At 50.5% G+C, this 14837-nt stretch overlaps 1 protein-coding gene across 11 annotated transcripts in view, besides 2 other annotated features; it reads right to left on the bottom strand.

Annotated features, from left to right (window-relative positions):
• The window catches only part of TBC1D14 (TBC1 domain family member 14), a 123649-nt gene that overhangs the window by 103934 nt on the left and 4878 nt on the right, over nucleotides 1-14837 (bottom strand). For 10 of the 11 annotated variants that reach the window (XM_011513508.2, NM_001113361.2, XM_017008477.2 and 7 more), the window contains exon 2: nucleotides 5070-5808. In XM_011513508.2, coding sequence (XP_011511810.1) covers nucleotides 5070-5791 — 722 coding nt within the window. In that variant the 5' untranslated portion in view covers nucleotides 5792-5808. Of the gene's footprint in view, nucleotides 1-5069; nucleotides 5809-11246; nucleotides 12277-14837 lie in introns of those variants that run through there. The other variant, XM_047416000.1, reaches the window with a different exon arrangement.
• Nucleotides 11460-12424: an enhancer, noted in NCBI's record as "H3K27ac-H3K4me1 hESC enhancer chr4:6918484-6919448 (GRCh37/hg19 assembly coordinates)". NCBI's record gives its function as "activates a minimal SCP1, AML or CMV promoter by ChIP-STARR-seq in naive H9 embryonic stem cells {active_cell/tissue: H9 hESC(naive)}" and the evidence as "EXISTENCE:reporter gene assay evidence [ECO:0000049][PMID:30033119]".
• Nucleotides 12425-13389: an enhancer, noted in NCBI's record as "H3K27ac-H3K4me1 hESC enhancer chr4:6917519-6918483 (GRCh37/hg19 assembly coordinates)". NCBI's record gives its function as "activates a minimal SCP1, AML or CMV promoter by ChIP-STARR-seq in naive H9 embryonic stem cells {active_cell/tissue: H9 hESC(naive)}" and the evidence as "EXISTENCE:reporter gene assay evidence [ECO:0000049][PMID:30033119]".

The following is a 14837-nucleotide window of genomic DNA, read 5'->3' as shown; positions in this document are numbered from 1 at the left end:
ACACCAGCAAACAGTGACATCAAGAGACCACCACCCAGCACTCCCTCTCAGGATCACAGCAACATACAAGCTCATACACACCAGCAGCAATGCAGGTCCATAGCAGGTGCCATCTGTATATCCATAATGCCAGGGCAAAGTCACCAGCAATATTAACAAACTGTTTGCACAGAAAAGGCATAGTTACAATGTTCCATCTCAGGTCACTAGAGCTAATTCTAAGATGGCCAAAGCAGGAGTAAATTACAGTCAGGCAACATAAAAACATAGACTAGACATTAACATGCTGCGATGTGCCCAGTGCGTCCCATGTATGTACATTTCCTCCCCATTTAATCCCAACAACCCTCAGAAGCATGAACTTGTTCCTATTTCCCTGTATCCTTGGACAAACCACTTAACCACCCCTTGCCTCAGTTTCCTCACATGTAAATGAAAACTCACGGTACTTACTTGAATTAGTCAGCTTTCAGTGCAGGATACAGAAACCCAGCTAATTTTTGTATTTTTAGTAGAAATGAGGTTTCACCATGTTGGCCAGGTTGGTCTCAAACTCCTGACTTCAGGTGATCTGCCCACCTCAGCCTCCCAAAGTGCTGGGATTACAGGCATGAGCCACCGCACCCGGCCCCCTCATATTAACTGTTTACAAGAGGTGCCATTACCCCATGTCACTCAAGTACACACTGGCGATCGCAGGGGCTAAGTGACCTCCTCAAGATCACACAGTACAAAAATGGCAGAACTGAGGTTCAAACTTGGGTCAGAGCAGCCCCTGCTCTCAACCACCAATATTCTTCTCTGCCTGTGAATTACACTTGGTGCCAGGGTGAACCAGACACAGGCTCTGCCCCCAAGGAGCTCCCAGCCAGGTCGGGAAGTGGTCCGGAAAAATCCATCATTCCAGTTCTTTAAACACAGCCAGGTGCCCCCACCTCCCAGCCTGCCACAAGCTGTTCCCTCTGCCCCACACCTTCACTGGGCAAGCTCCTGATCCTTCAATGCAGTTCAAACACTTCTCCTTAGCAAAGGGCACTCAGATTATCTGAGAGATCCGTAAAGGGGCTACACAAGAGACGATGTACTTGGTCAAATCTAATTCTCAACTTCCAGACCAATGTGGATTAGGAGATTAAACCCCTGGCTTCACAAAGCCCAACCCTATCTTCTGTGGAAAATAAACCCACCACAAGCATGTTACTGACTTTCTCTTACACTTGCTGTCTGGGTTTCTAAATAAATACTGTTAATCTACACTGGGCTCATATGATCCCTTAACATGGTCCCACTCTTCTACACAAATGAAAATCGTCCTCAAATTACATTAGTAAATTTCCTTCAAAGAAGCAAATCCCAACACTTATTCTCAAAGGCTGGGTGATTCTGTCAGCCCCTCCCTGGGGTATCTGGCAATGTCTGGAGACATTTTTGGCTCTCACAACTTGGGGAGTGCTGCTGGCATCCCGTGGGTCGGAGCCAGGGAAGCTGTAAGGCATCCTCCAATGCACAGGACAGCCGCCCACAACAAAGACGCATCTACCCCAAAACATCGGCCAGTGGGAGAGACCCTGCTCTTGACTTCAGCAAGAGCTTGACTGAAGCAAGCACAATATGGGAGTGAGAACTAGAGAAAGCTTTAGAAAAAGTATTTTTTAGAAATGATAATGTTTCTGTTAGAACCACAGAAAGCTACTACTTCCGGAGTGCCAAGAAGTTAAATGCTCTATTTGATCTCTAACCTTATACAGTAGTTTTATCCCCTACTTAAGGCTCAGAGAGGTAACTTGCCCAAGGCCCACAGCGATTAAATAGGAGGACTCACGAGAAACCCAGCCAGCATGAACTCCTGAACCAGCACTCTCGGCTGCGGTGCCACCCCCTCCCCACCCACAGTAACAGCACTTGTGCCCGCCCCCATAGCCCGTGAAATGCCTTATCTGTCTGCCCCATCAGACTATGAGCGCCATAAGGGGAGGGACTCTCTCTAAAGCTCAGGCTGGAGTCTGGGACAGAAGTGCTCATTACAGTGTGGGTGAAGGACAAATGCAAGCCGGGCCTGCGCTTCTGGGAGGCTGTGGTCAGGCTTGGCCAGCCCTCCTGTCACTCCCCTGCTCCCACCTCATCAAGCAGCCAAGGTCATCCCTGCCCGTCTCCACCCTTCCCTCCGAGCATGTTCTCCTAGACTACACTGTTCACACGTCCTTCCATAACCCAGAGACTGATTCACTGAGGACAAGGAAACCAGAAGGCAAGAGAGTGAGGGGACAAAGTGGGGAAACAGGATGGCTCAGAAGCCAGGGCTGGGAACCCCAGAGGACCAGCTCTAGCCCCAGCCCTGCCCTCAGCAAAGACTCACGATGCCCACAGTCCTCTGGGTACCTGCTGTGGGCCAGGCCCTGGGCTGAATTGATGAACATTCACTGTAACTCCATTTACTCACCTGTAAAATGTTTAGTGAGCTCTAAAGATTCTGGCACAGAAACCCTTTCCCCTCAAAGGAACTCTACATGGAAACTCTTCTCTAACATTTTTAAGACTCTAGGACAAAAGAACCCTAGACTCTGCCCATGTCATCACTTGTTTTAAGTCATTTTTCATTATATTCCATTATCTTCCCAAAGGTAGTTCAGAGAGGCTCACAATAACAATGTCACAGCCATCACAACGAGGATAAGGAACCAAGGAATAAAAGAAGAGACACTTGTTTCCTGCAGCACAAAGCTGAGTATGACTTCCAAGAAACGGTAGCTTTAGAAATGATCTAGAAATTGCATAACCAACGATGCTTCCTTTCAAAGGGGAAGAGAATCCAATATACACAGCTCAGTCAGCTGAATCACAACGGCGGCAGAAAGAGCAACGTGGCCATGATCGCCACAAGCAACTCATACTTAAAAGTTTACTACGTGTCTGGATCTGCATTAAATTTCTCACATGCTAACCCATTTTAATCCCCACTGCCACGGAAGGAAGGGCTCATTATCCCCACTTCTCAGGTGAGGCAGCGGAGACAGAACGTGCGAGGACAAAGGTGAGCGTGTGGCGTTCGTCAACAGCATAATGGGCACACGGGCCACGCTCCTCCGCGCACGGTTCTAGGGGTGAGAAAACTGACTGGGAGGTGAAGGAACTTGTTCAAGGGCACAGAGCTGGACATGGCACAGGTCGGTTGAATTCCAAAGCCACACTCCTTCCACCATGCTGTTTCCCGGCCAAACCCATTTCAAGCAAGGTTTCCCACATTTCTGAAAACCCATCCTCAGGCCCTTCTCGCTGAGCTTCTGATTCTGTATGTCTGGATGGATCCTGAGGTCCGCGTGGAACGGGTACCAGGTGTTGTTCATAAGCAGGGACAGTTGAACACACTCGTCTGAGCACGGGGAAGTTCCGCCACACAAATCTAACCACAGCAACACCGCGATATGGCTACAGCCTCAGAAGGGATAGTGACAAGATCTCCCCCAAAGTTCCCAGGTTCCTCCCACTGAGGGCAATCGCTGAGTTACTGCATTCTGAGACCAGGAACTGTGCTCATGGTACCAAGATACCTATCTGTCAGCACATTCGAGAAGAAAGTTTCCCGACAAAACCACAGACCACACCACAGATCATCTCACTCAGGACTGGCCTTAGGCTGGTCCGAGATGATCCCCTTTAGTTGATGAAGCAACTAAGGCAGTGGTAATGTGTTGGCCACAGTCAGAGTCGCCAGCTGACTCCAGCCGGCACACCACACCATCTCAAAGGGACACCCGGTACTGCAATGTCTGACGTGGGTTCTGCTAGAGACACACACACGGGGCAGCCAGGGTCAACTGCAGAAATGTTCCCACCTGCCAAGCCCCGGCCCCAGAGCCCTCCAAAGAGCAGCTATGGAGCAGATCACGATTCTTTTTTTGTTTGTTTGTTTTTTTGAGATGGAGTCTCATTCTGTCGCCCAGGCTGGAGTGCGGTGGCGCGATCTCGGCTCACCGCAACCTCTGCCTCCTCCTCCCAAGTAGCTGGGAATACAGGCGTGCACCACCATACCTGGCTAATTTTTGTATTTTTAGTAGAGACGGGGTTTTGCCATGTTGGCCAGACTGGTCTCGAACTCCGGACCTCAGGTGCTCCACCCACCTCAGCCTCCCAAAGTGTTGAGATTACAGGAGTGACCCACTGCACCCAGCCACAGATCTCAATTCTACACGTACTCTCCACAGCCCCTGTGCCCTTCCTCCCAGCACGCCACCGTTCGGGAGTTCACATTTGCTTGTGTGACGAAGGTGTCCACTCCCACCACCCCCAGGCCACAAGCCCACCCTAAGTCATGACCCAACATCGTTTCTCTCACCGTATTACCCCACATGACCAGCCTAGAACAGGGCCTAGGAAATAGGCACTTGTTGAACAAAAGCATGAGAGCACAAACGAGAGGCAGAAGCTGAAGGCGCGGCCCCCCCAGGGCTTCAGGGAGACACAGGAACTCCAGCACTCAGGTGACAAGGCCCCATGGGGACGGAGTGCATGGCCAGGCCCAGCACGTTGGGAATGCATGGGGCTGCAGTGCAGCAGAGCACACACCTCCACAGCAGAGGCAGGGCCAGGACAGGCACACGAGAGCACAGCCATCCAGGGGCACGGGGACACGGCTGGAACACCCGGCATGCCAGCACTGCACTATGCCAGCAGGGGCTGGCAGTAGAAATGAGAGTTACTCACTGGCGTCACCCTCACCAGTGCCCTCTGCTTGGCCCAAGAAACGTTAAGTTATGAGTGCACAGGGCCCCGCAGAGGCTCAGGCTGCTGATTTGGTAACACTGGCCACCTGTGGGACAGCCACAGCAGGTCAGAGGCAGAGATGTGACAACAGACTGCAAATGAGCCAGGGACACCGAAGAACAGAATCCCCAACAGACCAGTTCTCACAATCCCACAGGATTCCGGGCTTCTGGGAAAAGACCCAATTATCTGTGTGAGACAGTGCCTGCCTAACACCACAGAGAACACACAACACATTTGAGACAGGAACAAGGAGACTGGTCTGGACTCAACCACCACGATCTTCTAGAGGGCAAAGATGGCATTACCTTGCAAAGAAGTTACTAAATGGCCCCAATATTTTCAATTTACTCCCCTCCTCAGCTTCATGAACACAGTCCTGCTGGTGTAAGCCACGGGTTTCCTTGATAGAGCTCAAGGTGACGTTGGTAAACTGTGGGTCATCGTCATTCTCCAGGGTCACAATGGCACTGGAGCTGCTCGTGACCACAAGGTCCAAGATGTCCTCATTGCTGACGGACAGCGTGGTGGACAGCTCTGTCCCAAGACTGGACACGCTGCAGACGGAGACATCATCGCTGCGGGTCAGGGCTTTGGAGGTCGGGCTATAGAGCTTTACCGAGTCATAGCCTGTCCTGGGAAACGTGGAGGATTTGCGCACGCTCTGTTCCCGCTCGGTGCTGCTAGGAGCTGGTGGCGCACAGGATGGCAGCGCGCAGGCGCTCTGGAAGGCCCGCTCGGGGATGAGGTCGGAGTCGGACTGCTTCCTCCTCACGTGGACCGCGCTGCAGGGTACAGGCTCCGGGTTCCCGATCTCCAGGGTAGGAATCCCCGAGTCCACGGACTGGAGGCTGTGCCGGTCTTCTAAAGCCCTGAGTTTCAGCTTGGGCCCGTACTCAGGCGCGGAGAGGAGTCGGGGCGCCTTGAGATTGACGTGTTGCAGGTTCTGAAGGGGGTTTCCTGGTCGACCATCCAGAATACCCATGAAGGCTACGCCATTTGTAGAGGTGGAGAGTTTTCCATCAGTCATCTTGGTCCAAGGAGAAACTAGAAAAAACACAAACATGGAAATTAAAGTGGATATAAAATTCAAAGATGCCACACCTCTGACACACAGCTGAAATGGTCTGATCTCACTTAAGGGAGAAAGCCTTGAAAAGGTTCCACATACCCAAGTTTTGATTCAAGTCCAGAAGCTAGAAGTGGTTTTTGTTTTTTGACACAGACTCTCGCTCTGTCGCCCAGGCTGGAGGGCAGTGGCGCCATCTGGGCTTACTGCAAACCTCTGCCTCCTGGGTTCAAGCGATTCTTGTGCCTCAGCCTCCCAGGTAGCTGGGATTACAGGCATGCGCTTCCACGCCCAGCTAATTTTTGTATTTTTAGTAGAGACAGCGTTTCCCTATGTTGGCCAGGCTGGTCTCAAACTCCTGACCTCAAGCAATCCACCCACCTCGGCCTCCCAAAATGCTGGGATTTTGGGCATGAGCCACCACGCCTGGCCCAGAAGCTAGAGTTTTAACATACACTGTCATGATATAACATAGCAGGAAGATAACCCAAACAAAGGATGCACCCGAAGTAAAAATAATCATCACGCTCCCTACCAGTCACATCTCCATCCCCAGGGCAGCACCAGGAGCGTGAGGACTGGGCTTGGGGGGCGGCGGTTGGGTTTTTTCTTTTGGGGGAGTGGTGAAATGATAATCTGTCAAAAGTATGTGAATCCATAACCCATACATAAGTCAAGGATCTACTTGTTCTGAGACAGCATTAAAATCCTAAGATATCTTCATTAAGACGGAAAACAACAACAAAATAAATTATGTATGCCATCTGCAGCAGCCAGGCCTCTCCACAAATGTTTCAGTCACGCTTACTCACATCTACGAGGCTGGGTGTAGTATCCCCTTTACCACGGAAGAAACCAAGGCTCGGCAAGACTAAGAAACGGGTCTAAGATCACACTGCTGTTTAACAGCAGAGCTGGGATCTACGGGACCCCAAAGGAGACCACACGTAGGTTAGAAAGGCTTGGTTTAGGATTACACAAACCCAGGTCAGAAGGCCAGCTCAGTGAAGATAATCAATAAAGGAAGAGTAAAGACCACAACCTCCGAGGTTTGAGTGAGTAGAGTCAAAACCGTCAGTGCGGCGTGGGCAACGTAACAAGACCCTGTCTCTACAGAAGACTAAAAAAAATCAACTGGGGGTGGTGGCACATGCCTGCAGTCCCAGGTACTCTGAAGACTGAGGTGGGAGGATCACTTGAGCCTGGGAGGTTTAAGGCTGTGGTGAGCCATGATTACACCACCGCACTCTGGCCTGGGTAACAGAGAAAGACACTATCTCTAAAAAAACAAACAAACAAACAAAATCCATTAATCACACGCACACATCTAAGGGCATGTCTAAAGTTCTCTGGCATGGCCGGGCGCAGTGGCTCACACCTGTAATCCCAACACTTTGAGAGGCTGAGGCGGGCAGGTCGAGAGGTCAGCAGTTTGTGAGCAGCCTGGCCAACATGGTGAAACCCCATCTCTACTAAAAATACAAAAATTAGCCAGGCGTGGTGGTGTGCGCCTGTAATCTCAGCTACTAGGGAAGCTGAGGCAGGAGAATTGCTTGAACCCAGGAGGTGGAGGTTGCAGTGAGCCGAGATCATGCCACTGCACTCCAGCCTGGGCAACAGAGCAAGACTCTGTCTCAAAAAAAAAAAAAAAAAAAAATTAGCCAGGTGTGGTGGTGCATGCCTACAATCCCAGCTACTCATGGAGGCTGAGGCAGGAAAATCACTTGAACCCAGGAGGTGGAGGTTGCAGTGGGCCAAGATCATGCCACTGCACTCCAGCCTGGGCGACAGGGCGAGGCTCCATTTCAAAAAATAAAAAAATAAAAAATAAAGTTCTCTGGCCTAACCAGGCATGGTGGCTCATGCCTGTGATCCCAGCATTTTGGGAGGTAGAGGCAGGAGGATCGCTTCGGCCTAGGAATTCAAAAGCAAGCCTCGGCAACAATGGGAGACTCTGTCTTTAAAAAAAATTTTAAATTAGCTGGGTGTGGTGGCACGTCTGTGGTCCTAGCTACTTGAAAGGCTGAGGTGGGAGGATCACTTGAGCCCGCCCAGGAGGTCAAGACTGCAGTGAACCCTGATAACACCACTGCACTCCAGCCTGAATGACAGAAAGAGACCCTGTCTCAAAAATAAATAAATAAAAAATAAAGTTCTCTGGCCTAAGACAAATGAGGAAGGGAGGGTATGTGGCACACCAGCCCGGAGAGCACAGCCCCAGCACACTGAGAACACTGGCATCAACTGCTATCTTTTATTTTTCTTTAAAATGGCCGGGTGCAGTGGCTCACGCCTGTAATCCCAGCACACTGGGAGGCCGAAGCAGGTGGATCACCTGAGGTCAGGAGTTCCAGACCAGCCTGGCCAACATGGTGAAACCTCATCTCTACTAAAAATACAAAAAATTAGCTGCACGTGGTGGCAGATGCCTGTAACCCCAGCTACTCAGGAGGCTGAGGAAGGAGAATTGCTTGAACTCGGGAGGTGGAGGTTGCAGTGAGCGGAGATCGCGCCACTGCACTCCAGCCTGGGCAACAAGAGCAAAACTCTGTCTCAAAGTAAAAAAGAAATCAGGTGGTGCATTCAAATCTGGTCCATACAAGAGAACAACAGAAAGAACAGGGCTTTGGACTCACACGCTCCTGGGCTCTATATTGCCTTGGGAGAATTAAATCAAGTACCACAAGAAAAGCATTTAATAGGCACCTGACCCCCAACAGGCACTTTGTTGGTAGCTGCTATCATCAAACAGAGAGGAGCTGAAGGTTTTCAAGCACAGAAGAAAGAATGATAACCACTCCTGCTTGGGCGTCAGCTTTTGTAAGGAGCCTGCACGCTCCTACTTTAGGAAGCCTGGCCTGCCTCAGTGTCAACACAGCAAAAGCAAATTCATTAAAAGCAGAAAAAGGGGAGCCAGGTGCAGTGGCTCATGCCTGTAGTCCCAGTTACTCAAGAGGCTGGGGCAGGAGGACCACTTGAGCCCAGGAGTTCAAGGACTCATAGCAATGAGCTATGATCACCACTGCACTCCAGCCTGGGCAACAGGGCACAATCCTGTCTCCAGAAAAACAAAGGAGAGAAAGGGAGGGGACTAATCTCCCTCCTTCCCAGAGATTGAAGGAGCCAGTAAGAGTGCAGCGCTGAGTCAAAAATAGAAATGTGAAGGAATTAAATGAAATGCAGAATTCAGAAATAGACTCAACTATATATAAATATTTGATTCAGCCTGGGCAACACAGTGAGACCCCCATCTCTACCAAAAGTAAAAATTAGCCAGGCATGGTAGTGCACACCTGTAGTCCCGGCTACTGAGAAGGCTGAGGCAGGGAGATCTCTTGAGCCCAGGAGTTCAAGACAGTAGTAAGCTGTGACAGCGCCACGGCACTCCAGCCTGGGCAACACAGCGAGACGCTATTTCAAAATAAATAAATAGGCCGGGCACGGTGGCTCACGCCTGTAATCCCAGTACTTTGGGAGGCCAAGGCGGGCAGATCACGAAGTCAGGAGTTTGAGACCAGCCTGACCAACATGGTGAAACCCCCTCTCTACTAAAAATACAAAAATTAGCTGGGCATGGTGGCGCACGCCTGTAATCCTAGCTACTCAGGAGGCTGAGGCAGGAGAATCGCTTGAACCCAGGAGGCGGAGGTTGCAGTGAGCCGAGATAGCACCACTGCACTCCAGGCTGGGTGACAGAGGGAGACTCCATCTCAAAATAAATAAATAAATATAAAGAAATATAAAAAATAAAAACTTGAAATACGACCCAGTGAGTAAAGGAGGATTATTTAATCACAATGTTATAGTAATTGATAATCAATTTTTCTTAGAAATTAGAACCACACTGTACTACACTAAGGCAAAAATACAGACAAAAGTAGAATTTAATACAAAAGTGAAATTATAGGCCAGCATGGTGGCTCACGCCAGTAATCCCAACACTTTGGGAGGCCGAGACGGGCGGATCACCTGAGGTCAGGAGTTCAAGACCAGCCTGACCAACATGGTGAAACCCCATCTCTACTAAAAATACAAAATTAGCCGGGCATGGTGGTGCATGCCTGTAATCCCAGCTACTTGGGAAGCTGAGGCAGGAGAATAGCTTGAACCCGGGAGGTGGAGGTTGCAGTGAGCTGAAATGATGCCACTGCACTCCAGCCTGCCCAACAAGAGAAAACTCCGTCTAAAAAAAAAAAAAGGTGAAATTACCCAGGTGCTGCAAAAAATAAAATGTTTCTCCAACCTATAGAGCAAAAACTCAGGTCAAGATCTGAAAGAATCCGGACATCGCCTCCCTACGCGTGAACACGTTTTCAGTGTTTCACAGCCCTCGCTGCTCTTCCCCAGAGCCGTGAGCCCTCCAAGGCAGGGCTACTGCAGACCCTCTGTGTGTCCCCTGCTTGGGAAGAATCCAAGTTTCTAACAGAATTCTAAGAGAATTCACAAAAGTAAGATATAATCCAGGATGATTCAAATATATACAAATTTGGAAGTTCTACATACACTTTAATTAAAAGGAAAATAGAGTAAGAAACATTTTTAGCACACAGTTAAGAGCTAATCTTTGACAATGTCAAGGTCATTAGAATTATCAAAACATCATCAACACTCCAGCAGATCAAACTAGCAAAAAGCCACACATGTAAGAGGAAATCCTATGCTAAACAGAGCTGAGGGCCTCTCGCAGGCCCAGCTGAAATTCTGGCTCTGCCACTTGCCAAGTAAGGCGACCTCAAATGAGGTGCTTAACCCTTCTGAGCCTCAACTTCCCTCTTCCTCGGCAGTAAGATGGGACAATACCCTATAGCTCACAGGCTGGTCTGAGGACAAAAGAAATGAGAAGGTCTGCTGAAGGCATTGGCAAACCCAGCCCCTGACTGACACACAGCAGGTGCCCAATGAACGTGTGCTTCCCTTTACTTCCTAGTACAGCAAAACACGAATGTAAGCCACAAAAGAGATGCGGGTTAGAACGCAAATGCTGATGACAGAGTAAACAGGAACACAAAAAACTCTATCCTTCCTAGGAAAATCAGTGCCTGGGCAAACAGAAGGCATCACTCACGCCTGGAATTGGAAACCATTTTGGTGAAACTATAGGATTTCATTCATGGCAATCCAAGGACCCTTCCCTGAATTGCCGCCAAGAAGAAAGCACAGGAAGAAGGAAGTGAGGTCTGGCAGAGCCCAAAGCCATCTGGCTTTAAGTAGAGAAAGAAAACCTTTTTCTACTCCTCTCCTCTGCGGTGGGGGGCCAGGGACAGCAGCCCAGTGGCCTCTCCTATGGAGAAGTTGAGTGACCTTTGAGGTCTTTGTTGATCCCAATTCCAGTTAAGTTCCTTAAACCTCAGAACAGGGCGTCAGTTTTCAGGGAAATAAACCTAAAAAGGAAAAAGTACTTCCGCTTGCAACATACCGTAAAACCAAACTCTGCAAGGGCCAAGGCGACCTGTCCTCAAGCACTTCCGCCTCGTGCCACTAGGGCAGAAGCCGCACTCCAGGCCACCTACCGCGTGATAATACCCTTTATAGGGGAAGTTGTACAAACAAGGTGTGTGCTTCTGAGACAAAGCTAATGGGTGGACTCTGGACGCCAGCCAGGAGACCGACCAACTGCAGATGGCCTGCCTCCAAGTCCACGTTTATAAAAGACAAACTAAGCCTGAATTCCCCAAGCCGACACACAGGGCCCTCCTGATCCGTCTCTGCCTGCCTCTCCAGCCTTGTGCAGTCACCCCCAGCCATTACCCGCCCCCACCACCAGCCCACTCAGCCCTACTGCACCACCACCTGAGGTGCTCTCCCAGGTAGGCCATCGGGGCCTCAGAGTCCCAGTAGGGTGTGGCACAAGGAGACACTCAATTGGTGCTTTCAAAGGCCACCTCCTCTGAAAAGCCTTCCCTGCCTCTCCCAGAAAGCTCCCAGGCCTCCTTCCTCCTGGGCTCCTTTTGGCTACACCCCACCTGAAACAGCTATTTTACAACTGTTCTCCTGTCTCTCTCCCCACTGCATTCTATGCTGCAGGCAGACACAGCTCTCATCATTTCTGGGAACTATTCTCTGGTTAAATGCCTGGCATGGATTAAGGTTTCAAAAATCTACTCGCTGAATTAATTACTACCAACAACTGAGTTCTTAAGTGGGCAGCTTCCAGGGACAGTCCCAGCCAAGAAACATCTGCTGAGAGCTGGATTATGTTCCAAGAACTCGGTGAGAGCTGGAGGTGAGACTACGAGGAAGAAATCCCCTACCATCAAGTTCCCGGAGAGTGCACACCAGCAGCTGAGCAGTGACCAGCCTACACACTGGTTAGGGGCTAGACCAGATGGTGAGGAACGCTGTCAACACATGATGGTCAGGAAAGTGAAAATTCCTGCCTTGACAGGTGTTTTCCAAAGTCCCAATCACTAACGTCCTAGTGACAGCATCTCCCTGCAGCAGTGACCACTGCAGTACGCATCCGTAGGTGCCCAAGGCACAGGAGGAACGCCCCAGCACCTGACCCAGCACCCTGCCACGGGAGGCACTGAACACAAGTCAAATGGTGATGAGTCATCACCTTCCGGCCAAGAGAAAGACAAGATGTGAAGTACGGATAAGAGGAAGACTGTTTCCATTCCATGCAACAAGGCCATCTGAATTGTATTTACCTGTCACAAGACTCAGTTCTGCAGGAAGCAAAGAGGACAGCTGCCCCCGAGGGATTCAATCAACTGTCACGCCACCAGAGCCACAATCTTCACTTCAATACAAGTCAGAAAGCGGAGGGTGGCTCTGCTAGTGACTCTGCGTGGGGCTTTGGAAAACAATTCCATCTAGAAGCAACTGCTTGATTTTCTCCTCCTTAAAAAGCAGTGGGAACTGTCTTAACCAAAGTCTTCATACATAAAAGAAACTGTTTACAAGGCCAAACCAAGAGATCTAGGTGTGTTCCCACAGGGGAAAAAAATCCGCTTAGTGGCTTCAGGGAGAAGTCATGCTGCCGTCTGTGTAGATATCCACCGGAAGCCTCTTCGCAGGGCTGGAGCACGAAGCACTCCCTGTCCCGGCTCCTCTCTGGACGCTCCACAGGACAGCTGCCTCTTCAAACCCCAATGGCAAGGGGGCACCACTGTCCTATCTGATCCTCAAAGGGTGGTGCGCTCACCTTCACTGCCAAGCCTGCCATCAACCCAGCTCTGGCCACTGACTTCCGGATTCTTATCCCTTTTTTTTTTTTTTCCTGAGATGGAGCTTTGCTCTTGTTGCCCAGGCTGGAGCGCAGTGGCACAATCTCGGCTCACTGCAACCTCTGCCTCCTGGGTTCAAGCAATTCTCCTGCCTTAGCCTCCCGAGTAGCTGGGATTACAGGCGCCCGCCACCACGTCTGGCTAATTTTTTGCATTTTTTTTTTTTTTTAGTAGAGGTGGGATTTCACCATGTTGGCCAGACTGGTTTTGAACCCCTGACCTCAGGTGATCTGCCCACCTCGGCCTGCCAAAGTGCTGGGACTACAGGCGTGAGCCACCATGCCAGGCCTGGGTTCTTATCCTAAGGGTCAGGCCCACACAGCTCATTCCTACTCCACGATGGCCTGAGGGTATACAGATCCCAGAGCCAACATTTCCAGAGGGCAGACCAGCCTGCAGCACCTAACAGCACCACCACAGCAGCACCGCAGGATGGCAATTTAATGAGTACCAGGTACCGTCCTGAACTCTAAATACACCGTTCTGCCTCACAGCCCCTCAGCAGCCCTGTGAGCCAGGTAGTATGCCCATTACCCAGAGGAGGAAACCGAGGCATGCAGCCTGCCCAAGGTCTCCACTGTGGCGGAGCTGGGCTTGAACTCAAGTCTGTGACTCCAAGGCCCCTCAGTAAGCTTTGCTGCTCACAAAGGCATGTCACAGACATAAGCACCTCTGCTCACCTCACCCTGTAAACAGCATGCTGAGTTCTACCGTTTCCAGATGGGAATAACAAAACTGGGCTGAGCAGGTGCAGTGACCCCCAACCCCCTACCCCGGTCGCAGGGGGTTGACCTGAGGCATCTGTCCCCAGCACCCACAGCATTCTCCGCAAGGCCTCTCAGGGTCCCCCATGTTTCCTGGTGAGGATTCTGGGGAGACTAAGAGCCTCCTCATAAAAGCAGCTGCTCTTATGAGCGTCCTGCCCTGGAGGGCAGCACGGTTCAAGAGAAACAGCCCAGTCGAGCCTCTAATGCCAAGGAGAACCCACTGGGCAATGGGGCACCTCCCTGTGAACTGGCCTGCCTGGTAGAGGGCTCCACAAGCACCAACCCCTGCATCTCTTTCTCTTTTTGTTTTGTTTCTGAGACAGAGTCTCACTCTGTCGCCCAGGCTGGAGTGCAGTGGCATGATCTGGGCTCACCACAACCTCCGCCTCCCGGGTTCAAGCGATTCTCCTGCCTCAGCCTCCTGAGTAGCTGGGATTACAGCCGCCCACCACCACGCCCGGCTAATTTTTGTATTTTTAGTAGAGACAGGGTTTCACCCTGTTGGCCAGGCTAGTCTCAAACTCCTGACCTCAAGTGATCGCCTGCCTCAGCCTCCCAAAGTGCTGGGATTACAGATGTGAGCCATTGAGCCCAGCCTCTTTCTCTTTTTTAATTCAAGTCCTGGCTCAGGCAGAAAGGACTGGACGCTCCAGGCTCACGAACATGACCAGCTAGCTGCCTCCGCTCCCCAAGCGCAGATGACACATCAGGCACTGCATTCCATGTCTATATGCACTAGTTCTGTCACCTCCACAACCACCCAAAGAGCTGAAAGAAGACTGCGGTCTAAAGGGTGGTGCGTAGTAACAGAGCTGTGCCGGGCTAGCCTGAGTAGCCGAGGCACTCACTGTTTCCACTGCTACACACACAGCCTAAAACAGTGGATTGATCTGCATTATGTAAAATGGAAAAGGCCATTATAAAAGTAGTTTGGCTTTTAAATGGGTGATTCTTTAGGATAAAAATAGTCCTGAAAAAAATTTCCTAGAAGCTCACATATTCCTCCAGAGG

The sequence above is a fragment of the Homo sapiens genome, chromosome 4 (assembly GCF_000001405.40).
Source record: "Homo sapiens chromosome 4, GRCh38.p14 Primary Assembly".
NCBI lineage: Eukaryota > Metazoa > Chordata > Mammalia > Primates > Hominidae > Homo > Homo sapiens.
This window is presented reverse-complemented; position numbering and strand designations above follow the sequence as displayed.